Source organism: Homo sapiens, chromosome 5, assembly GCF_000001405.40.
Source record: "Homo sapiens chromosome 5, GRCh38.p14 Primary Assembly".
NCBI lineage: Eukaryota > Metazoa > Chordata > Mammalia > Primates > Hominidae > Homo > Homo sapiens.
The window spans coordinates 68,411,990-68,436,805 of NC_000005.10; the positions used below are offsets into that span (position 1 = coordinate 68,411,990).

At 42.7% G+C, this 24,816-nt stretch overlaps 1 long non-coding RNA gene across 5 annotated transcripts in view, besides 4 other annotated features; it reads right to left on the reverse strand.

Annotated features, from left to right (window-relative positions):
* Positions 1 to 14,322: 14,322 nt before the first annotated feature.
* LOC105379013 (uncharacterized) overlaps positions 14,323 to 24,816 on the reverse strand; it is a 406,546-nt gene continuing 396,052 nt past the window's right edge. For 4 of the 5 annotated variants that reach the window (XR_007058804.1, XR_007058805.1, XR_007058806.1 and 1 more), the window contains 2 exons: positions 21,480 to 21,596; positions 14,323 to 18,588 (listed from right to left, as the gene is read on the reverse strand). This is a non-coding gene — a long non-coding RNA (uncharacterized LOC105379013). Of the gene's footprint in view, positions 18,589 to 21,479; positions 21,597 to 22,350; positions 22,441 to 24,816 lie in introns of those variants that run through there. The other variant, XR_948412.3, reaches the window with a different exon arrangement.
* Positions 21,725 to 22,924: an enhancer, noted in NCBI's record as "BRD4-independent group 4 enhancer chr5:67729541-67730740 (GRCh37/hg19 assembly coordinates)". NCBI's record gives its function as "activates an origin of replication core promoter dependent on BRD2, P300/CBP, MED14 and CDK7 cofactors, and independent of BRD4, by STARR-seq in HCT116 cells {active_cell/tissue: HCT116}" and the evidence as "EXISTENCE:reporter gene assay evidence [ECO:0000049][PMID:35650434]".
* Positions 22,203 to 22,542: an enhancer, noted in NCBI's record as "active region_22632". NCBI's record gives its function as "activates an Ori minimal core promoter by ATAC-STARR-seq in GM12878 lymphoblastoid cells {active_cell/tissue: GM12878}" and the evidence as "EXISTENCE:reporter gene assay evidence [ECO:0000049][PMID:35858748]".
* Positions 22,233 to 22,527: an enhancer, noted in NCBI's record as "tiled region #6353; HepG2 Activating non-DNase unmatched - State 4:PromP, and K562 Activating DNase unmatched - State 5:Enh". NCBI's record gives its function as "activates a minimal TATA promoter and a strong SV40 promoter by Sharpr-MPRA in HepG2 and K562 cells {active_cell/tissue: HepG2 | K562}" and the evidence as "EXISTENCE:reporter gene assay evidence [ECO:0000049][PMID:27701403]".
* Positions 22,913 to 22,972: an enhancer, noted in NCBI's record as "active region_22633". NCBI's record gives its function as "activates an Ori minimal core promoter by ATAC-STARR-seq in GM12878 lymphoblastoid cells {active_cell/tissue: GM12878}" and the evidence as "EXISTENCE:reporter gene assay evidence [ECO:0000049][PMID:35858748]".

Genomic DNA, 24,816 nt, shown 5'->3' on the forward strand with positions numbered 1-24,816 from the left:
GAACATTTTATGCTTTTATCAGATATGAGTTAGCTGTGCATATCGGAAATTTAATTCAAGTAGACAACGCTTTCATATACTCTGGCTTTGAACCAAGGAGTCAGTCACTAATGGCAGTTATACTCAAAAAGCTATCATCAAACCTAAACACTTGAAACTCAGAGCTAAATGTATATATTTGCACTAAGATTTTCTCTTCGTCATTGGGCTTTTATTTTGGAGGGTTTCCTCAATAACATCTTCTCAAAATAACCTCCCTCCCTAGAATCTTCTCTAAAACAAAGCAGCACTGGTGTTTGATGTCATTTTAAAAATCGCATTATACCCTTAGGATCTTGTCATCACATTTTTTTTTTTTTTTTGAGACGGAGTCTTGCTCTGTTTCCCAGGCTGGCGTGCAGTGGCGTGATCTTGGCTCACTGCAAGCTCCACCTCCCAGGTTCACGCCATTCTCCTGCCTCAGCCTCCCAAGTAGCTGGGACTACAGGCACCCGCCACCACGCCCGGCTAATTTTTTTATATTTTTAGCAGAGACAGGGTTCCACCGTGTTAGCCAGAATGGTCTTGATCTCCGGACCTCGTGATCTGCCCGCCTCAGCCTCCCAAAGTGCTGGGATTACAGGTGTGAGCCACCGCACCTGGCCTGTCATCACATTTTTTACTGGAATTGAGACATGTTCATCTTCATTATCCACTTCTTACCAGAACATAGAAAAACATATAATTCTCTGAATTAAGTAGAAAATTATCCTATGTAATCTAAGCAAGTGTCTTTTTCAAAAACGATGCTTATCAGTGTAAATCAAATTATTTAATTCCCCTGCTTAAAACCCTCCAATTAAAAAAATTACCAAGAAGAAAACCCCAGATTCTTACTAAGTCTATAAGGGCTACATGGACCCTCATGATCTGGCTCCTGCCCAGCTCTGACTTCCTCCCTTTCAGCCCTGCCCTCTGCATCTTCTATCATGCCATCTTTGCAGTTTCTTAAATACATCAAGCTTATCCTTGCTAACCCTGTGCTTGGAAAGAGCTACACGGTTAGATCCTTCTGTATGTTTACATCTCAGTTCCAATCTCCTCTTTACCAGGGAGGTCTTCCATGGTACCCAATTGAAATAGTGCCCACCTCTCCTCCCAGCACCACTTGCTCTCTATCACAACATGCTGCTTTAAGAAAAATCCCATTTATCGTTATCTGAATGCATCTTATGCATTTATTTTTTATCTACTTTCCCCTTGGTTTCCATGGATAGACACTATAATCCAGAAGATAGAAATCATGTATGGTTTTCATAAGAGCAGGAACTTTGTCTCTCTTGTTCACATTCCCAGAGCCTAGAACATACATAGTAGGCACGTGGGAAATACAAATGAATGGTTGACTCAGTTGAGGCCCAAAGTCCTTACTGCATCATGGTCCGCTATCTTTTCACAGAGACAGATGCAAATGATGCAGCTTCACCAAGCCACAAACTTGCCTTAGTAAACAGCAACCCCACCCATACACTTCCAAGGGAACCACTGTGTTACAAAATGCTCCTAATGCCCCAAAGTCCCAGAAACACAAGGAGACCTGAGATGATAAAAGGCTCAAAGGTGCGAAAACCTTCCTTCCATGTCCTGGATAGCGTCATCGCTTTGGGTTTGGAAACTATTCTTGGGAATCTCGTTTGTGGTCAAGATTCAGAATGTTCACCAATTTCATGAATAGGCTGTGTTTTGGGCTGTACCTGTGGATGAGACCAAGAAGTAGAACTGAGATGCAATCCTTCTCTAAAAGGGAGTTACTCACATTTCTTGGGAAACAAGATAAATTGAGGTAAACAATCGGAAGGAGGAAGGTGTCATTACTGACATTTAAAATGCTTTTTTCACATGACTTACATTCTGTCTAATAAGCATCATTAACCTCAACTTGAGAATATTGAGAAGAAAAGCCACACAGAACAAGGTTCAAATCCCAGTTTCTCAACTGGGATGTTCTTCAAGACTCTCTGGCTCCAGAGCCCTTTCTTCTGCATCACAAAAGCCTCATATGAGTTGCTTGAATAGCAGCGATAAAGGGTTCAAGAGAGGGACCCGAACAATTACACCACTGATCCCTTAACTCTTGACCCACTCCCAACGTATGTTCTATGCAGGTCATGTTTCAAAGACTCCATTTCTCTCACTTCATGTCATCATCTTATTTGATAGGCTTTTGGGCTAAGCCTGGCATCTCAAGGTTTGAAAGGTTCAATGAAGACTTCACTGTTGACAGTAGCATGTTCTTCATTATAAGAACTGTGGTTTTGGCCCCCTGCTCTAATTTATATTACTCCTAGTTTAATTTCAAAATTAGGTTCATGTTACCATATCATTGTATTTGTGTTTGCTATAAGCTAACAAAGTCATTGTGAAATAAAGTATAAAGAAATATAATTACATGACACAATATATGCTTATTTTGGTACATGACAAAAATGGCCACGAATTTTCATGCCTCCATTATCCATGTCCTTTGCCATGTGACTTCTCAGCTCCTTCCAGTAAGAAGTGAATATCTTGATCACCTTTTGAATCTAGGCTAACTTTATGACTCACTTTGGCCAATGAAATATAGTAGAAATGATAATGTGCCAGTCCTGAGTCTAGGCTCAAGGTCTTACATGTCTTTCTTTCTTTTGGACCCTTGAAATCCCCATGTGAATAAGCTCAGATTGGCTTGGAGGTTGAGAGACCTGTGGGCCGTTGGTCCCACTGTCCCAGGAAACAGCCAGCCATATCCCAGAAGCCAAGATACCTAGTTGATCTGTCACTGACTTGTGATTCCTGAGGGAGCCCAGCTAAAACAAGAAGAACCACTATGCTGATTGCGGCCCCAATAAGCTGAATAAATGGCTGTTTTCTCAAATAACTAAGTAAGCAAGGGCTCCCTGATACAACTATACTCACGAAAGCTATTCATATATGCAATATTGTAATAAGTGACTCACTTACATAATCTCAGCCTTCAAGTTTAATACTATCTTCATTTTATATCTGACCCTTACAGAGGTTTATTGACTTATCTTTTCTCTTCTCCTATATAAAGTAAACCTATCTATTGTACTGTCACTATAGGAAATGTTAGTTAGCGCTCCTTAGCTGTGAACTTTATATTTTTATTGTTATACTTACATATAAACCCCTTCCTATTTGGCGTCCAACTAAGCAGACTAAAAAATGTAAAGCTTGAAAACCCTTGTTACAAATTCTTCTTCATATTTTTTTGCTTAAAAGGCAACCTTAGAACATTGAAAGGAAGAAACAAGCTCAAGTTACACTGAAGAGCCAACTTATCAGGGGAGGTTTGCCCATATCCTGACAGACTTTGATAAAGTGCTGAGGAAACCATGTGCCCTCTGAAAAATCCAGCCTGGCCCTGGTTGCCTTAACATCCCCAAAGGTTACTCTGTAGATCACTCCTCAGAAAGCCTTTGATAATACAAATTACTTGCTTGCAAATTTAAGGGATAGTGTGTCTTGAGAATGTCTTTGAAGGTACACAAATGAATGCTCTGTTTTCCTCACTACAAAACTCAGACAGTACCAAGTCACGGGCCAAATTCTGTTTGTTCTACTTGTCTTTGTCAACTAAGCATCCTTCCCCAGGGGACTGATATAAATCAGCCTTCCCAGTGTCAGTGTGTAACAACTTCCTGCGAGGGCGGGAAAAAGGAAGTGTCCTCTCATGTTGGCTCTGCAATTCATAACCTGTAAGACTCAAGATCTCCAGCAAAAAAGACAATTCAGGCAGTCCAGCGGTTGGCTGAAGGTTGTATTATTTCAGGATGTTAATAAGGTGAGACAGAAGAGAAAGCTGCTCAACAACCACATCTGTGTTCCAGAAGGAGAAAAGCAAAGTCATGAATTAAAATATGTAATTAAAAAATTTCTGCTTGGTATCCAAAGAAAATAAAATGCATTTAATTTTTCTCTCACCTTGACTTCAGTTTTTTTCTGCTTCTTGTTGCTCCCAAGTATTTTATACACTTTATCAACACCTTCTTTCCCCAAGGACTGTGTGTGCCTGTGTGTGTGTATGAGTTTAAGTGTACACATATAGAGGTAATGGGCTTTGGGGACAATAAAGGCAGGAATGGGTATAGCCAAAGAATGAGAGGAGAATGGGCCCATTAAAGTCAAGGAAAATGAAAAGCTGTTTGATAGTAAAATATATACACAAATGGATAACAAATTTAATTTGTGAGCCTTAAGAAAGACTCAAAATTATAATAGGCCACATTAAATTTGATTATTGGAAACTTTCAAAAGAACCCTTCTTATGTGCCCCAGTTGCTACAATGACATTTCCAATTCAATGTATTAAATGATCACTCTATAGGATTGGCCCTCGGCCGACTGACACCTGCTTCATCTCTGCTTTCTGGTGTTGAATATAAATTAATGTTCTTCATTTATTGTACCTTGTTTATTAAACTAACCTTCTGACATTTCACCAGTGCTCATTAGGGTTAAAGTCTGTCTCCTACTCAGAAAGGGTGACTTTGAGTTAGGTGAGGCTCAGGCTGGTTGGGCTCAGCTGTGGGGCTCCTTAACAATTGTGGGAGGAATTGTGGGAGGGAAGCAGGTGGGTCTGAAAGTCCTGGTGGGAAATGATGCTGAAATGTAGACAAAGGAGACACTGAAAATTACCCTTTTGGTCTGTGTTTTGCAAACTATTTGTATGGTCTCTTTTTAAAGGAAAAATTTGACATTTCAGGATTTTCAGTGTTTTATCATTTTACTTAATTACGAAAATGCTTATAGGTACTGAACACATGTACACACCTGTAGTACAACTCTAAATCCCAAAGAAATAAGCTATAAAAACTATAAATTCAAATTAGCAAAAGTAATTTAATAAGGATGGTTCTGTTTTACTGAAACAGAGTCATCTAGATTGATTTAATAAGACAAATGCATTTGCATGCTTTATGTCTCATTTTTTGGACTTGATTCTTTTGCTTTTGATAAGGCATTATTTAAGACATTATTGTTATTTTTCTTTAAAAAATTAACTCATTTTAAACCAATTAGGTTCATGGGCCACTTAAAACTGTGTTTCAAAATGCAATACTAGCAGGAAAAAACCCATTGAATTCCACTGAATAAGGAGTTTTCCACTGTCTTTTTGTAACTACCTGTACTGCCCCCTTATGAACTGCTCGATGTGCTGGAGTACAAAGATGGGTGCCCACTAACATGTTTGCTAGCCACAGGGTCTTGATGCTGACCACTGTGACTGAGTCTTTGAACAAGGCATGACTGGGCTGCCAATTGCTGAGGGTATTCAATTTCTTCACTATTCAGTTTCCTCATTTAAATTGTGAATGCTGCTTCTACTCATCATGCTATGATGCCGTTTGGTCTTCAGTAATGCTAAAGGGATAGGAACATAAATGCAAATTCAGACATAGAAACTGAGTAGCGGAGCTCAATTACAAGGTAATTGTTTCATGTCCAGAACTGCTTGTAGTAATGTACAAAATTACAAAGCCAAAACTATCACAGAAATTCTACACATTAGAGAACACATCCATGTTTGCACAACATCTTCCTAGTTTGTTGTTTTGCCTGGGACTATTGGACCTTGTTAATAGATTCGTCTAAGCACAGTTAATAAAATAACTTTTTGGCATTCAGAAATGTACTGTAGAGGGCTCTTATAATGGGATTATGGGACTGTGGAGAGATGACCCTTATAAAAGCATGTGATCATCATAGGTAAAAAGATTTTTTTTTTTTTTTTTTTTTTTTTGCTAAGGTGTGCTCCTAATTGAATTTTACTTTTCTGCTTTAGCTAACAAAGTTTTTTTAAAAAATGTAATGACTTTTGAAAATATATCATTACTTTTAACTTAACATATGTGCAAACCAACATTCACAGTTTCAAGTTTATGTGTTTCTGGTCAAGCCAGAGGCTGCTCCCTTGCAGCATTTTAATACCTCTGGTGGAAAAAAAAAAAAAAAAAATCATTTCTTGTTTGATACAGAAAAGAGAAAAGAACAAAATTAAATAAAAATGTTTTATGCCCCTTTAAAAAAGTTAACCTGAAAACCCAAAAGTTTATTTTGATTTCTGTTGGATAGAGACCATCACCCAAGGGATAGGTTTGCCGACAAAGGCACCAGAAATTTCTATTAAGTGCCTTATTTCATGCAGTGCTTCATTTAATTCCTGAAGACAGATTTCCAGTCTGCACAAGTACCAACACACATGTATTCATACTTTCCCCACAGCTTGCCGAAACTTAGGTGTCAAAGTCTCCCGCAATAGATTACTCTTCTATGAGGGAATATGCAGACTTGCTAGTCCATGGGCCATTGTTCCCTAGCACTAAGTTGAAATGATTCTGCCAACCGGGACCCCAGAGATATCAGAGATTTCATCATCTGGTGCCTAGCTGAGCTGCTCAAGGTCATTGACTAACTTAATGGCTCAGAAGATTATTGCAATCCTGAAGGAAACATTCCAGGACAAGTCATTCCTATTTATAGAAATAGCTTAAAAATGTTCCCAATAAACTCTTTACTCTGTCTACTTGACTTAAAATATAATTCTATTGCTCAAGTATTTACATATATATAAATTCGTGTGTTTGTATCTGGACAGGTAATGATGTGTACTTTAGGGACAAATCTTTGGTTTGCTTCTTAGAAATACATAGTCTTCATTCCACCAAACGCCCCCCAAAATTTATTTTTTTAAAAAATTGTGGCAGAGCCTGCCAGTTGTCCTCTACTATTCATTTTCACCTTTTCTGGTAATAGAATTTTCAGCAGACACAAGATTGTCCTAAATAAAGACCATGTTGCCACGTTACCCTGCCTCCCTTGTAGCTAAGTGTAGTCATGTGACTAAGTCCTGGTCAATGAGAAGTAAGCAAAAATGTTAGAGCAACTTCTGGGACCCTCATATGAGAGTTGGCTGACATATGCTCTTTGCCTTTTCAACATTTCACCCCTCCTGCTGCCTGGAAACAGATGCCACCTTGGACTATGATAATGAGGCCACACTATACAGGTAACAGCACGGTGAACTATTTTCTGAGGATTTCCAGGAGCAGATCCCCCTTACCCACCCAGTGCTGCTTTTTTCCACTCTTTTACACGAGAGAAACCCACTCATTTTTCTTGAGCTATTTTGTTTAAGATTGTTAATTTTGGATTTTTCTGTTCCTTGCATACAAACCTAAAATTACAGAACGCAATTTGGTATGAAGCAAATTGCTTAACTCCCCTCTTCCCCCACCCACCGCCCTCAATCTGTCACCCAGGCTGGAGTGCAGCAGCACAATCACAGCTCACTGCAGCCTCATCCTCTTGGGCTCAAGTGATCCTCCCACCTCAGCCTCCTAAGTACAGGCATGTACCACCACATCTGACTATTTTTTAAAAAAATTTTTATAGAGACAGGATCTCACTATGTTGCCATAGCACTGATATGGATGATTACACAAAGATATACTAACATATAAAAAGAGAGATTACATCTATGCACGAACAATAAAGAATTTATAGCACATGCATATTAAAGCTAGGTAGATCATTTAGATAGAGAACAGAGAAAGAAACTATGTTCCAAATCTGCATAAGATAGGGTGAGGGAAGGTCAAATGTTAAGAGCTGTTTGAACAGCTTGGTGGACTAAAATGAGATAATCCAGACCCATAGTCTCTTGGGAATAAGCTTAGAGGTTGAAAGGAAAGAGCAGACGGAGGGGGCTTTGAGAAAGTATGTGGATCAGGCTGACAGCAGCCCAGCTCACTTTCCACGGAGCTGACTCAGCCTGCCCTGCTCCACCCTAACCTCTGACCTCCTGTGCAGTCACACATGGAGGAAAGCCCTGGGCAACTGTACTTCTTGTTCCTTTAATGCCCCTACTGCAAAAATAACCTCCAGCTGCTCCAGTAGTGCTAGAGGCCGTGGGGAAGAACCCGACCCCACTCTCAGAGCCCTTAGAGGGAAAGGCAGCCCACTCAAGCAAGCATCTGATGCCTGAAGATTCCTCTTCCTTCTCTGAGTGTGGCAGCTGCAGCAAGAAAGGAGGAGACCAACATGAGACTTGGTAAACACATAAGAATGGCAGCAGAGGAGGTAGCCATTCCTGGGGGCCCAGGCTCCCCTCGGGAGGTTGTGAAATTGATATGGGCATCGAGCTAAAAAAGTCCCTGGAAAGCCCCCACCTATGGGGAGCTTGGGATGAAGCTGGAGCAGGCTTCTATCTCTCCCAGAGTCAACACCAGGAAGGGACAGCTGGTGTGACCTGGGCATGATAAGGAGAAACAAAGCTGAAACTAAAGAAGCAGGAACTGGAGCCTAGAAATGTCAAATAAGTGTAGAGAAGCCACAGGGTCCCACTGGAGACTGGGGTGGGATGCAGGAACGGCTAAGCGATTTGTCCAGATAATCCAGATGAAATACAGGTGTTTACAATTCTGAGCCATTTCAAGGTAAAAGAAGTTTATAGAAGTTGATTCAAGTCTCTGCCTCATGATTTTCTTAATGGGGCTTGGCTATATTCCTCTCTGCAGGAGTGACACACATGTGTGCTCCAGCACATCTTTTTAATATGGGAGACTCCTCAAGTTTTGGTTCTCTAGACTCTCACGCTAAGGACATAAATCCTGACAACTCTTTACATTTCCCCACCTGATAGTCCCCTACTCACTAATTTGTACACTGCTTCTGTGGAAGTGACCAGGGCGTTTCTGCCTGGTAGGCAGAGGAGTACTCAAAAAACAGAGGGCGATGCAAGGCCACCCAGCAAGGTGTTGGCAGAGTGCCTGACTCGGGGTGCCTGTGTCAGCCTGATAAGCCCTCCAAAGCACCACGCTGTCACTGGAGGGTAGGGCCAGGGTTGTTGAGGTCAGGGATGATGCTGATGAAAATACTGTTAACCGGACTCAGCCGGTTTTTACATGAATTCATCTGAGTATCTAGAGACTTTACTGTCTTTTCTCTCTCTCCTCTCTCCTCCTCTCTTTGGTCAGCTTGTAGCTTTGAGGTACCAGGCCACCTGACCACATTCTTTTAGATTCTCTCCAACAAAGATATTGAAGAGATCGCTCATCCAATGCTATACAATATCAGATCATTTATCTGTCCACTCCTCACCCCAAACTAAACTCTCAAGTTTTCTGAAATTAAAAAAAAATACATTTACCAAACACATGCATCATAGGTATCATGAGCACAATGAGATTAAGAAGATGCAATGGCTATCTTCAAGGAGCTCATATTCTATTTGGAGAGAACACACATACATGCACGTCCACACATGCACAAATTGTTCAAAGACAACAACCAAAGAGACGCAATCAAGGCTTCATGTGTCCTTTTTCCAAATGAATGGACAGGGATAGCTGTATTGTTTAAACGAGGGAGAGAACTTCAGCCTGTGGTGCAGAGGAGGAAAGACAGCAGTAAACAAAGAGGACTATGATAGGCTAGTGTTACAGGTCAAATTGTATCCCCCCAAATTCATGTTGACAGCCCAACCCCCTGTACCTCAGAATGTGACCTTATTGGGAGATAGGGTCTTTACAGAGATAATCAAGTTAAAAATGAGTTCATTAGGATGGGCCTAATCCAATATGACTGGTTAGTTATAAAAATGGGAAATTTGGAAAGAGACACATATAGAAAGAAGATGGCCTTCTGCAAGCCAAGGAGAAAGGCCTTGGATGGATCCTTCCCTCACAGCCCTCCATAGAAACCAAACTTGCTGATACCTTCATTTCAGACTTCTAGCTTCCAGATCTGTGAGATTATACTTTCTGCCATTCAAGTCAACCAGTCTGATATATCACAGCAGCCTGAGGAAGCTAACATGTCTTGACACCAGGGTTAGCTCTGAGTAAGCAGAGCAGGATGGGAAAAGGCTTAACGTTGGAGAAACAGGACCAACAAAATAAGCCCTTCCAAATGCCAAGTATATTCTGAGAAAACCAGTTTACCTGAAGCCGAGCGTTTATGTGGGAGAGCGGTAGAGCATAACGTGTCTGTAAGGAGTCCTCATGTCTGTGCGAGCTGGGCTGTGTTCTAGGCTGAGGAGTTTGCGATGTGTTCTAAGGGCAGAGGGGAACTGTGGTGGCACTCAGAAGCATGTCATAAGACACAGGGTGTGTGAAGACGATGGCTAGCAAGAGGATTGAGAGACAAGCACGGAGAAAGGATGCTCAGTCACAAAAGTAGTTCTCAAGCTTGGTTGCCAACTAGAGTCACCTGAGGTAACAGGCTGACACCAGCCCCCAGGGTTATCCAGGACTTAATCCTGGGAACCTGTGAATGTTTGTTTCTGTGGCCAGAGACTTTGCTGATGTTGTTTAGGATCTTGAGAGGAGGAGAGTACCCCAGGTTATCCAGGTGGGCCCTAAATGTAATAACAAATATCCCTCTAGAGGGAGGCAGAAGGAGATGTGACTTTACACCAGAGGAAGAAGGCTGAGTGACAAGGGAAGTAGGGGGAGAAAACGCAACGAGATGGGGCTATGAACAAGCATGGGGAAAGAAAGGAAATGCATTCTCCACTAGAGCGTCCGGAGGACAACACCTTAATTTTACCCCAGTGAAACCCATTTTGGACTTCTGGCCTACAGAACTACAACTGTAGGAAAATAAATTTGTGTTCTTTTAAACCAGTGAGTTGGTCGTAATCTGCTACAACAGCCATAGAAAGCTAACACACCTGGGGAGACTTACAAACATCTGTGGCCTCGACCCCATCTTGGAGGGGCTGAATCTGTTTTGAGAGTGAAGCCCAGGCTGTAATGTCTCCCAGGTTTGTGGCAAGCTCAAGGACCTTAGGAGGCTGCAGTCCAAGTGTGAGGCCACAGGAGCCCGACCAGTGGGAGCAGCCAGAGAGAGAAAGAAAGGAATGCAAAAGGTATCATGAACAACACACTGGGACCAGGAACTACTCGGTTACTTCATTTAGGGAAAAAAAGCAAGAGTCAAAAATGAAATGGACTCAGACCCCATATCTGGAGAGCACCAGACCCTTCATACCGGGGAGGAAGGGCAGGTAAGCTGGGGTGGAGGTGGGCCTGATTTTAATTGTCTGTCTGGGGTTGTCCAGCAGGCAATTGTAGAAATATGAGATGACAGCTGGAGAGAGAGAAAGCAGGCCTGAAGGTAACATTGGGGCATCATCAGCAGAGATGGAAGTTGAAGCCTGACCATGAGTGAGATTTCCAAGGGAGTTTTAAAATGAGAAAATGAGAGTGAGGAAGAACAGAACCAGGCTTCCCATACCACTGTGGAGAATGAGATGAGTAAGCAGACAGAAGCAATAATCAGAGATTCAGAGAAGTACAAGAGAAAAGCTCGGTGCATGTGTGGGGAGGGAGACGACAAAGCCACATGCTACAGAGAAGGTCAAGAGAAGGATGACTAAGAAATGATGGCAGATTAGAGGCCATCGGTGACCTTTGAGAAAGCAGTTTCCCTGTTGTAAAGAGGTGGGGACAGATATCAGATGACTGGTCTATGGGAGAGAGTGGGTGGGGAGAATGTGGAAGCAACAATAGAGGCTAACTTTTGGGGCCCTGGGAATGAAAGCAAACTGAGGAATGAAGTGACAGCCTAGCCAGGTAGACACAGAGCTTAGCGGCATGGGCTTTGCACTCAGACAGACCCGAGCCACCCCCAGCTCCTCCACTGTACTACCTCGAACAAACTCTTTAACCTTGCATAGACTCAGTTACCTTGTTTATAAGACAGGCACAATAATTAGTGCCTACACCAAAGAGTTGTGAGAGTTAGATGAAATACCATAGGTAAATTGCCTATTTTTACTGCCTGCAACATAGTAAGTTCCCCAAACTGATATAGAAATGAATAGATAGATAGAGGCAGAGATGTACAAGAGCTCTGGAATCTCAGGTTCCTATAAAATGGATTGCCAGGTAAAATACAGTATTCAGTCAAATTTTAACTTCAAAATAGAAATAATTTTTAGGATAAGCGTGTTCTAAATATTTCATGGACCAAACATACTAAAAAATTCTCTGTTGCTTGTATTCATTTTCTATTGCTGCTCTAGTAAATTATCACAAACTTAGTGGCTTTAAACCAACACAAAGTTATTGCCTTACAGTTCTGTAGTTCAGAAGTCTAATACGCATTTCACTGCGCTAAAATCAAGGTGTCAACAGGGCAGGCCCCCATTCCTTTCTGGAGGTGCTAGCAGACAATGTGTATTCTTGCCTTTTCCCACTTCTGGGGCCACCCACACTCTTTGGTTCATGGCCTGTTCCTCATCATCAAAGCCAGCAATGTTACATCTCTCTGATCCTTCTTCCTTAGTCAGATCTCTCTCTGATTGCAGTTGGCAAAAGTTGTCCACTTTTAAGACCTTATTTGATTAGATTTGGCCCACCTGGATAATCCAGGCTATTCTCCCCATTTCAAGGTTCATATCTTTAATCACATCTGAAAGTCCCTTTTGCCAAGTAACATAATATAGTCATAGGTTCCAAGGATTCGAACATAAATATCTTTTGTGGAATATTATTCTGCCTACAATATTGTTTATCTGAAATTCAAATTTAGCTAGGTAACCTGTTGTCTCTTTGCTAAATCTGGTAACCCTACCTATAAAACTTTGATTAACTGGAAGGAAAAATACTAATTTTCCCTTTCCATAGAGCCTCAACTATATCTTTTATTAATTCTTATTTCCATTCTATGATTCCTCCATATGCATCCCCCTTTATGCTGTATTATGTGTATTTCTGTTTCAAATTTTATTTTTTTTTAAATAAAATTTGCGCCTTGAACACCCAGGCTCATGTGATCCCCCCACGTCAGCCTCTCAAGCAGCTGGCACTACAGGCATGCACCTCTGTGCCTCGTTAATTTTTTCTATTTTTTGTAGAGACGAGGTTTAGCTATGTTGCCCAGGCTGGTCTCAAATTCCCGGCCTCAAGCAATCCTCCCACCTTAATCTCCCAAAGCACTGGGATTACAAGCATGAGTCACCACACCTGGCCTAACATTGCACATTTTATGGAGGTCTGTAGCTGTTTGTAAAATGCATATGTGTGTGTAAAGAGAAATTCTGTATCTTGACTTTCATTAAGTCTAAATGAGATTTGGACTTATATAATCAGAAGTAGGAAGGGAAAACAGAAACCACTCTAGGTATTTCAGGCAGGAAAAGAACTTAATACAAGGAAGTGGATGCATACAAAACTTCTGTAAGGGCTATGAAAGGTCAAGGGTGAAAGTTCAAGGAAGGAAGTTCAGGGAAAGCCACAAACTTTCAAATTTGCTGCTAGCTTTCAGAGACAGAAGGTTTCAGGGACTACAGGAAACTGCTGGTGATGGTATCATCTGTTTCTAACACTGACGTTGATGATTCACAGGGAGATGTCGGGGAGCCAATACAAAATCTGGTATTTGCTGAAACCCACACATTTGCTCTCTTCTGCAGAGTAGCATTATGTGGCTTCTACCTCTCTTGTACCTTCTTAATCTCATGTCAGTATATGATCTGGAACTCTGTTGGCAAAGATGCTGGAAAATGTGGTTTCCAGGCATCCAGCCCCCAATAATAAAAGGGAAGAGGGTAACAGAGAAGCTGTCAGATACAGCTAAAGAAAGAACTCCAAAGGCTGGAAGGGATAAAACTTTTGCCAAAGGAAGAGGTAAAAAACATTACCTGTGCATAGATTCCTGATTATTGTAAAATACCTCCCACTCTAAGTCTTCTGTACTGTATGCAACTTCTCTTTTAAGGCGATACTTTGGGCTTGACATAGTGGCTTATGCCTGAATTCCCAGCACTTTGGAGGGCTGAGGCAGGAGGATCTCTTGGAGTCCAGGAGTTCAAGATGAGCCTGGGAAATCTGGTGAAACCCCGTCTCTATAAAAAAATACAAAACTTAACAGGGCATGGTGGTGAGTGCCTGTAGTCCTAGCTACTTGGAATGCTGAGGCGGGAGGATTGCTTGAGCCCAGGAAGTTGAGGCTGCAGTGAGCTGAGATTCCACCACTGTACTCCAGCCTGGATGACAGAGTGAGATCCTGTCTCAAAAATAAATTTTTAAAAATAATACTTTGTTAATTTGTTGTGGCTGCCTCATTGTTTTCTGGGCTTAGCCTAGCCGTCAGATTTCATTGACTACATACTCTTGACCATCAGAATTTTGTTTTTCACATTTAAGGTGCCATCATGTAAAGAGAGAAATCTTGATAAATATGTTTGTCTCTAGGGTTAATTACCAAACTGTAAGAATATGATCGTTTTGTTATCTATTGTTGTGAAACAAACCACACTCCAAAACTTAGTGGCTTAAAACAATAATTTACTCCTTCTCATAATCAGTGGCATAGGAATTCAGGCAGGGTTCAGCTGGCTCTTCTGTTCCAGTGAGGATGGCTGGGTCACTCGCTCAGCTATAGTCAGGTGGTGGCTAGCTGAGCTACAAGATCTAAGGAGGATTCCCACACCTGTGTGGTGCCTTGGTGCTCCTCCACATGGCTTCTGTCCATCCATGTGGCTAACTTAGGCTCGGCACAATACAATCTCAGACAGTCAGGCTCCTTACACCGTGTTTATACACACACACATTATACACATGTACTACGGACAATCTGTTAAATGGTAGTCAAGCCTAATGTCTTTTATTTTTTAACGAACATAAATAGAAAGAGAAGATCTTATATTGCTTTTATTACACTCTACTGTGGCAATCACTGATCTACTTTTCCATTTCAGTCTCATCATCCCTTTCTTAGTTTTCTTGTTAACTCCCTACCCTGATCCCTTCTACCTCCCACGAGGTGACACGGGGAGCTTACTCCATCTTTGTATCCTCTTCCTGTCACCTGGATTTTTCAAATATGTAATAGAACTTGGCTTTGTTCCACACTTCACAGTAGGTATCTAGGAAATAAATACATCATGTACTTAGACCTGAGCATTGTGAGAGCTTACAGCTTGTAGTTGGGTAAAGTGGATTTGTTCTTCTTTTATTTTGTTTTTGTTTGTTTGTTTTGAGACAGGGTCTCACTCTGTCACCCAGGCTGGAGTACAGGGGCGCAATCAAGGCTCACTGTAGCCTTGTTACACTCGACATCCCAGGTCCTCCTACTGCCTCAGCCTCCTAAATAGCTGGGACCACAGGTGTGCACCACCATGCCAGCTAACTTTTTAATTTTTTGTCTAGAGAGGGTCTTGCTATGTTGCCCAGACTGGTCTCAAACTCCTGGGCTCAAGCAGTCTGCCCACCTTGGCCTCCCAGAGTGCTGAGAGTACAGGCAAGAGCCACTGCATCTAGCCTGTTCTTTTCTAAATGCTGCCAGCTACACATTTAGATCCCTGACACTTGTATAGATGTATACAGATACTCACACATCCTCATTCCTCTAAAAAATTCATTTGGGAATTAAACACTGTTAAGAATCATTTGTGTTCTCACATCGAGTGGAAGTTTGAGGATAACTTAAACTTTTAGGAGGCAGGCATGTGCCTTTTCATCTTTGTGTCTCCACATCTTTGTGTTCTCCCACAGGGACTGGCAAATAGTAGGTGCTTAATAAGCATTTGTTTTACTGAAGGCTGGCCATTTCCATTTAACTAATCCAGCACATATTGCCCTTTTTTTTTTTTTTTTTTAGTTTGCAAGCTGAAATGTATGATTTGTTTTGCAAATACTTATTAAGAAATTCAGAGACACACAGTAGATGCTTTTTTTTTTTTGAGACAAAGTCTCACTGTGATGCCCAGGCTGGAGTACAATGGTGTGATCTCGGCTCACTTCTACCTCCACCTCCCAGGTTCAAGCGATTCTCCTGCCTCAGCCTCCCGAGCAGCTGGGATTACAAGCGCCTGCCACCACACCCAGTTGATTTTTGTATTTTTAGTAGAGACAAGGTTTTACCGTATTGGCCAGGCTGGTCTCAAACTCCTGACCTCAAGTGATCTGCCCGCCTCAGCCTCCCAAAGTGCTGGGATTACAGGCATGAGCCACCACACCTGGCCCAGTAGATGCTTTTTATAATATACAAATAAAAGTCAAATCATCACAGAAAATATCGGATAGAAAATGAGGCAGAAAAAAATACTGACCATTGCACTTATAAGTGCTGTATCCTTTTAGTTATAAATACAAATTAATTTTCTTCAAGTCTAAAAAATCGTGCATGGGCGTGTGGAAACAGAAGGGAAGGACTTGAGGCACAAGCCAGGATGGAGGGATTCTAAGTAATGCATTGTGATCCCCTACGCATGTGTTGGCCAGGATGCTCTCCAAACAGGCCTCAGTAGAAAAGAAGAAGGAGCCCAGCTTCCTTTCTAATCAGACCTGAAGCTCATGTGTGCAAGCCCCAAGGTCCAGGCTGCCTGCAGGCTCCTGATAGCTTAGGCAGAAGCAAGGGAGAAGCTGATAGTGGGGCAGAAGACCTGGGAACCGCTAGGCAGCCTAGGGCCTCCCTTCTGGGCAATTCTTGTGCCAGATGTAATGCACACCTCAGGGGCCTGAGCGAGGGCCAGGGAGGGCCTCTCCCTTTTTCCATCATGTCTAATTGAACCCAGTTTCTGCCTGGCACCTCTCAGCTTCAAACGGGGGACTGAACAGTTTGTCGACGTGACAGTCCTGTGGCACTTTCTCAGCAGTATTTTGAAAGAAGCACTGGAGGCAGCGCCTCATGCTGAGAAGCATGAAACAGGCGCAGGGGTGTGTGTGGGTGTGGGTTTGGAAGGGAACCTGGGCTCTGACTGGATGCCATTTGTTTCTTTTATTTCAGGCTGCTGTTCTTGTTGTTTTTACGAAGACATTTTTCTCTCGCAAATGCAAAAGCTCGAGCTGTGTGGGCCATCAATTTCTGCCCCTTCATACAGACAAATCAGGGCTGCATGGTGGCTCGGCCTTCCTCTGCTGGGAAGCAGCCCTGGCTCACCTCACAGGGTGCCCATGGGCCGGCCAGCAGGGAAGGGAGTCCTGTAGGTGGCAGCTTCTGGGGGTGCTGCCAGAAGGCACTGGGTGCTTACCCTTATTGATATTGCAGAGAAAAAAAATCAGAATATTGCTAAGTAGTTTCAAGCCTGTCTAGCAGTCACAGAAGAGAATTCCTGTTAGATTTTCTGAGCTGAAGTCTGTATTCCCTAAGCCAGGCCCTCTTTCCAAGCCTCAGCCCCTCCACTGCGAAATGAAAAGGCACATGCCCTGGTTGCTCCCACTTTCTATCATCCCATGACCTCCTCTGGACTGGGAATGGTGGAGGTCGTTAGAAGCCTGGAAAATCCAAAAGAATGGAAACCCCCAGTATATTCTTTTCGACTTAGAGGAGAATGTGTGCATCTACATACTGAAGCCACACCATCAAGAACTGACCCAGAAGCTTCCCCCATGTCTCCATCCTGCCCCCCTGAAATCCTGAAAATGTCTCTGCTCACCTGTCTAGAAGAATACACATGACTGTTTCTGCATTGGCTGTGCTCCCATCCCATCCCCGACTTCTCTTTCTCATTTGTCTATCTAGTTAGCCCTGTCTCTGATTGGGAGAGTGATGCTTGGTTTAAAAGACATCTCTGCAGGAAAACTCAAGAGGAAACAGAGAGGCTAATACATCAAGCATGTTTTAAAATAACCAAGGTGATACATATAATAACATCATGCCAGCTCACATTCTGTTGCTCTTACAGCTCCGTGTAGGTAAGACAGGTATTCATATCCCCACTGTACAGATGCAAATACTGACTCCATGAGATAATTGAGTTGCCCAAACTTTCAAGACCAGTTAAAGGCAGAATGCGAACTGAAAACCAGATCTTCTGAGTCTTAGTGCCCCATTCACAGAGCTGTTTAAAATATGGATCATCTTTCTGGAGGAAACAGCTTTACCTACTCTGCTCACTTGCTCTAGGATTGAGAGGGTAGAGTGAAAGAAGCGGGGAGAAGTCATCTCAGAGTTAAAACTTTTTTCAGAACCATTTGACTCTTGCTCTGCTATGCTTAAAAGCTGCTTCTGCATCTAGGGTTTACCCAGAAACCCATCATCACAAAACCAGTAGCTCCTTTTGTCATACGTAACTACTCGAAAGCATGCAAGCAGGGGTGATCATCCAATTACAAGATCAGCTTTCTGTTGTCCAAGATAATAAAGCCGCAGTATTCATGGGTTATGATTTGGATGGGCACCCGCTAGAGTGGCATCATCTTGTTGGCCATCTTCCCTGCTCTGATCACATCCTTTAGTACCTGTAGAAATGTTGCAGCTCTTGCTACTGACTAATGGGACTATTTCATGTTGAATGTGAACAGAGAGAAACTAAGAAACTTGAATATTATAACTGGAATATGAATTTGGAAAATATTTAGATGTTCTCATTTATTCTAATTCAATACTTTAAGAAAGGGCATGGCTTCAGTTCTGATTCTGCACAATTTACTGGTAGATTTATGGGGAGGAACCCGTTTGGATTTGTTTCAAAATTTAACTTAAAATATTGCTGACTGGGTTTTTTTGGGGTTCATGTCAAGGTTTTTCTTCATGGTTTTGTTTTGTTGAGGTCCTGGGAAGGTCCATGAATATTTGGAGCATGAAGTAGATCTGTTGAAAACAAAAACAAATCTTGAGAATGCTACTATTTTTTGAAAAATACTAAACAATAGGCTTCTGATGTTCATTATTTAAACAAGATGAACTGAAAGAATGTTTGTCAGTCCATTTTGGATTGAAAAATGTCAGGTTCTTCTTTTTTAAAGTTTGAAAAAGCATCTCCTTTACAATGGATTTTTAAACCCAAAGTGTACCATTTCATCCTCTAAAAATGTAACTGACACCTGAGGTTGGGAGTTCAAGACCAGCCTGACCAACATGGAGAAACCCCGTCTCTACCAAAAATACAAAATTAACCAGTTGTGGTGGTAGGCACCTGTAACCCTAGCTACTCAGGAGGCTGAGGCAGGAGAATTGCTTGAACCCAGGAGGTGGAGGTTGTAGTGAGCCAAGATCATGCCACCCAGCATGGGCACCAAGAGCAAAACCCCTTCTCAAAAAACAAAACAAAACAAAATGTAACTGATGTGAACTTGGAACTATTGTGGCAGAAACAGTTTCTGGTTGTGCATTTTTGATTGGTGGGGGAGGTTTTTAGAGAGGTCACATTGAAAAGTCTGAAATATCCAAGAGTGCTCAGCAGAGCTTTTCCTGTAACTTGAAGGTATATAAAGCTGAAAGGCAGAACATAAAGAAGAGGTGCCAATGGAAATTCTATTTTAGGGGCATCCCTACCCTTCACCAAATGGGTAATTTTTAGTACACTTACCAGGTTATATTACTGTGCCAAAAACAGTGTGGTGGTTTTGAGTGTCTTTTTTTTTTCCACTTGGTTAACTACTTCTAACCTAATGTTTCTAAACCACAAGAATTCAACTAAATGCTTTAGACTATGAATACCTCTTTACCTTTCTTCATCACACGCACATGCTCATTCCCTAATGGCAACCTGCTCATTCCTTTTAGCCTTCACCCCAGTAAAGCTGGTCATTTGGATATTATCTTTAACTGAATTGCTTCATTTTTGTTAAAAATTATTTAATGCAATCACAGAAGATGTCTATTTATTAGAGATCTATTAAAGTAGCAGCTTTTAAATCAGATGGATCTCAAAGGCTCTCTGTGCTTCAGTTTTCTCATCTAAAAGATGGGCATAGTAACAAGACCTTCCTTAAAGGAGGCTAAGAGAATTACAACCAGCAGATGCCAGTGAAATCCTTAGTAAGTGTCCAATAAGCAAACCATGGGATTGTCCTAAGTTCAAACAGGCATCTTTCATTGTTTGGACCAGGGCTTTGCTGGGGCGGTAGGGTTAGGCAGGGACACTGAGATGTGTGTCCTTGGAGAACTCTGAGAAGGAGGGGGGCAAGAGCTCAGTAGCTCACTCTCAGGGAAGCTTCCAGTCTCCTTTAGCTTGTCACAACTGCAGAACCGTGTTTTCCTTTTCAGATCAAGAAACAATGTCTGCAGTCTCCCTTTCTCCTGTGCCTATGCTCAAGCTCCACACTGGCCCAGAGCTTCCTCCTTCAAGTCAATTCAAATAGTTACACTCAAGTAGCAGACAGAAACAAGCTTTCTCTTCATTTGTTAAACTTTTAAAATTGCTTCATCGTGATAAAATACACACAACATAAACGTTACCATCTTAACTATGAAGTGTACCATTAACAATGTGTTAAGTATACTCACATTATTGTACAACCAATGTAATCTCCAAAACTCATCTTACAAAACTGAAACTCTGTACCCATTAAACGACTCCTCATTTCCCCCTCCCTTATAAAAGTCTGACTGTTCTTGATATCTTACGTAAGTGGAATCATACAGTGTTTGTCTTTTTGTGACTGGCCTATTTCACTTAGTATGATGTCCTCAAGGTTCATCTATGTCAAAGCATATGTCAGACTGTCCTTCGTTTTTAAGGCTGGATAATATTCCATTGCATGTGTATTTCACATTTTGTTTATTTACTCATCTATCAATGGACACTGGAGTTGCTTCCATTTTTTTGGCTACTGTGAATAATGCTCTATCAACATGGTGTACAAACATCAGTTGGAGTCCTGCTTTCTACTCTTTGGGGTATATATTATACCTATAAGTGAAAATGCTGGGTCATATGGTAATTCTCTTTTCAATTTTTTGAGAAATGCCATAAGTTTTTCCACAGTGGCTGCACCGTTTTACATTCCCACTGACAGTGTTCTCTTCACTTTTATGAGGTGGCCACTCTTTCAGAAGGAGAGGCACTCTGGGTAAGATATGTGTCTAGAAATAGAATAAGATCAATCAGCCTTGATTCACGGAAGTGTCCTGTTCCAGCACCACCTTGCCAGGTGAAGTGAGTCACAAGCTCCCTTTCCGTTTCATTGTCACTGGCGGAAGGAAGTGATAGAGGTGGCTTCCAGCCATGCTGGGATGCCACATGCGTTTGCTGCTTGAGGAGGGACTTCCCATCTTTCCCTTGCTCTCTTTTCGCACACCTACTGCTAGGGCGCCTCTGACATAAGCCCACCTGCAACTTCTTCCAGGATCTGCTTCCACTTTGCCCCAGGAGCTACTTTTCTCTTTATCATTTTCTTTCATAGGATCTGAAAATGGTCTAGCAAAAGGTTGTTTCTTTGTTAGTCTCATGTTCTCGTGTCCATGTCAAATAGGGAAAATGAGGAAATTAATTGCTGTCTCTCTCAGGAACTCAGACCAACATAAAAATAAGACTCCTGAACTTAGAGCCTGTTTTGTCCACAAGATTATCCAACCTGCAGCAAGCACCAGAACTTGCCTGAGATCCTGAGATCCTAGTCACCTGGACATACACCAAGATCTAGCATGGAAGAAGGGAAATCTGCATCAGGAGTTCAGAGAAGGAAGAAGGATCAGTGAACTAACCTTAGCTCCTCCCTTTCAAATATCCACCTGGAAAAACAAAAATCTGTTCTCACCCTGGGCCACAAAGCTTGATGCTTAGGAGGCAGGCAGCTTGGAGGTGTGTTTCACCACCTGCTGGTTGCATGACTGTGAGCTCAGGACTTCACCTTTTTGTGCCTCAGTTTCCTCATCTGTAAAAGGGAGACAAGAGTTGTATACCTTATAGCATTCAAAGCAGTTTTATCACCTCACAACAACAAATTCTCTCACACTAGAGGCTATTAATCATCCTAGCAAGAGAAAAAGAGAAGGATCTTCAAAATTCAAATTTGGTTCCGTGTTTAGGTTCCTGTAAACAAGTCCGACACATTCTCCCTCTGCATCTTTGTTCAAGTTGTTTGCCTCTGTTGGTTCTTTCTCATGGTCCTCCTCCCGATCTTCTGCCTCTTTCTTCCCTTTCTTTTTGTGGGTTTAACTCTCCAGGCCCATAAGGATCTGTCCTGCCACATCTCTTATTTGAGATGCTCATTTTTGCTCTTCTTTTTACTGTGTCCTTCTCAGAGCTCCAGAACGATTTATTTTGCATTACCCATTAAGGCAGGCACATTGCTAGGCGCTCGCTGGAGACATGTGGTTGACGCTTTTTGAAGAATGCAGAATGCCTGGCTTAAAGAAACCTACTTTCTTAGAAAAGTTCCAGCTTAGAGCAAACCACCTCGTGATCACCCGCGTGGAATCTCGGGCTGAGCAATGTGGTTTGCAGATCCCTGAGCAGGGGCCTGTGAAATCTGGGAAGCAGGCATGTGCTGTGCGCAGAGGCATTCCAATAATAGTTTCAGATGCAGAGGACGGGCGGGCTGCTGTGACTCATGTCCCCAGCGCACGCACGTCTCCAGGCAGAGGGGACGTGGGCGGGGACGCTCACCCTTGGCCGAGGGGAATTACCTGGGGAGGCCAGGAAACAGGCCCCGGAGCACAGACAGGAGCCTGGCGTGCACAAGGGCAGCCACGCTGACTCACACAGGAAGGCAAGAGGGCGATGACCAAATTTGAAAGAAGCAAGTCGTCTATGTCAGGGAAGCCCTTAGAGAAACAGGAAGCATGATCAGCTGGTTTCAAGCTCAGAAAAGGAAAATTCAGTGTGTCCCCATGCCTTTGTTCTCACAGAAGTTTATCAAGATGAGACTCTGCTGAGCCTAGCACTGTGGTTCTGAGAAGTGAGAGTCAGCTACCTCCTCCAAGGGGGCCTCCACAGTGAGAGCGCACACAGTTGTCCGTCTGCAAGAACTGTTGGTACTTACCATAGCAAACATGTACGGACAGGGCCTCCACCTTCAGTTTTGTGGGTTGTGACCAGCCAAAGGGTGGCCAGCCGAGGGAGGAACTCTGCTTCCCAAGTCAGGCACCAGCCTGAGCCAGCCCAGAGGAAGGGACATCTTTTTCTAATGTGTCTACCCAAATGAGCACACCCTTTTCCAATTACCACAAAGACACCCTGCATGCTAGCTGTGGCCCTGTCTACAGAACACTTATTATATTCCAGACTCTGTTAAGAATTTGGTACACATTGTCTCATTTAATTCTTACAACGAACCTAAGAGACGGATTCTTTTTTTTTTGAGACAGAGTCTCACTCTGTCACCAGGCTGGAGTGCAGTGGCACGATCTCGGCTCACTGCAACCTCCGCCTCCTGGGTTTGAGCGATTCTCCTACCTCAGCCTCCCGAGTAGCTGGGAACTTCAGGTGCGCACCAGCATGCCCAGCTAATTTTTGTATTTTCAGTAGAGATAGAGTTTCACCACGTTGGCCAGGATGGTCTCAATCTCTTGACCTCGTGATTTGCCCGCCTCAGCCTCCCAAAGTGCTGGGATTAGGGTTCTTTTATTAACTCTGTTTTATAGATGAGGAACCGTAAGTACAGAGAGGGAATCTGCCTAACGCCACACAGCTATTTGTATCAGATTTGAAATTTGTACAAGGGCATGCTGCCTCCTAGGATGATTTTGTTTAGAACTAGATGATGATGATGATCATGATTTCAGTCATAGGTAGTTGAAGCTTCCCTGTGTTCTCAAGGATGTCTCAGTCAGCCTAATATGCCTCTGGGGTAAACAGAGAATGGTGGAGTGTTGGAAAGTTCTTGGAGAGGTTGGCTCCACCTGTCCAGGGCCAGGCTGCCCCAGGGCCATGTGCCCTGGCTGAGTAGCTGGCCTCTCTCCTATGCTAGAGCTTGGTATATGCCCAGCTGGCTAGGCTCTCTGGATTTCAGGATCTCAGACAAGTTCTGGTGCTTGTTGCAGATTGGATAATCTTGTGGACAAAACATAGGCTCTAAGTTCAGGAGTCCTATTTTCATGTTGGTCTGAGTTCCTGAGAAAGACAGCAGTGAACTTCCTCATTGCAGCACAGGGCACTTCCTCCGGCAGCACAGGGCAGGGATCCCCCTAACTGAACATAGGCTTGCCACCACCCTATTTCCCCAATGCCCTGAGTGTGGTGGGACTTCTTGCTATGCAGAAGATTTCTGTATAATTCTCCAGGTAATGACAGACAGGATAACCTGCCACTCAAATGGAGTTGCCACTTCAAGAGAAACAGCAACCTTTAGTCCAGAAATTCTAAAGCATCAATCCCCTTAAAATCATATTCTCAGCCCAGGATTGGTATGCTAACAAGTTCCCAGGGAGTTTGATACCCGTAGTTCTTTGGATTATTCTTCCTGAAACATCGCTTTGGGCCTTTCATGCTGAGAGATGTAGGTCGCCATCCAAGCTAAATGAAATAAGCAGAGCTGACACTGAAAGTCCTTTTGTCCGATGAAAGCTAACAACTCTAGTATCTTGGCTGACCATCACATCCTTTAAGGATCATTTTATTTTTAACAAATAACTGGAAAGTTGGCTTGCAATACCTTCAGGTGAAGGCTTTGGGGGGTGGGGCCACCTGTGACGACATGAATTGCCCTGAGGAAAATCATAGGAAGAAAATATATAGGTTTGAGTGACCTGGGCCATATTTTTGGGGCCCAATGGTTCAGCAAATCTAAAGATTTTCATATAGAAACACAAAACATTTGGAAAATGAGAGTAGATAAGGATTTGTGTTTCAGAAGGGCAGCTTACACCTCTGAGTTCAGGGATGAAAGGTTCTTCAGGACAGAGGGTGCTGTACTTTCTCTAATTTCCCACCCAGACTCCCTCCTTCCTACAAACATAGCAGGCACGACCTGGGTTTTGATCTGAAAAGCATCACACAGGCTTGTGGCCCAGAAATGTCTGTCTAATCTTCCTGACATTTCATGCTTCTGTGGCTTTCCTTTGGCTCTGGAAGAATTGGGAACTGTGAGACAGCCCACCCGAAGGGCTAAGTCCCTGAGAGGGAACCCCTTAATCTGTTAGCCCTCTGCCATT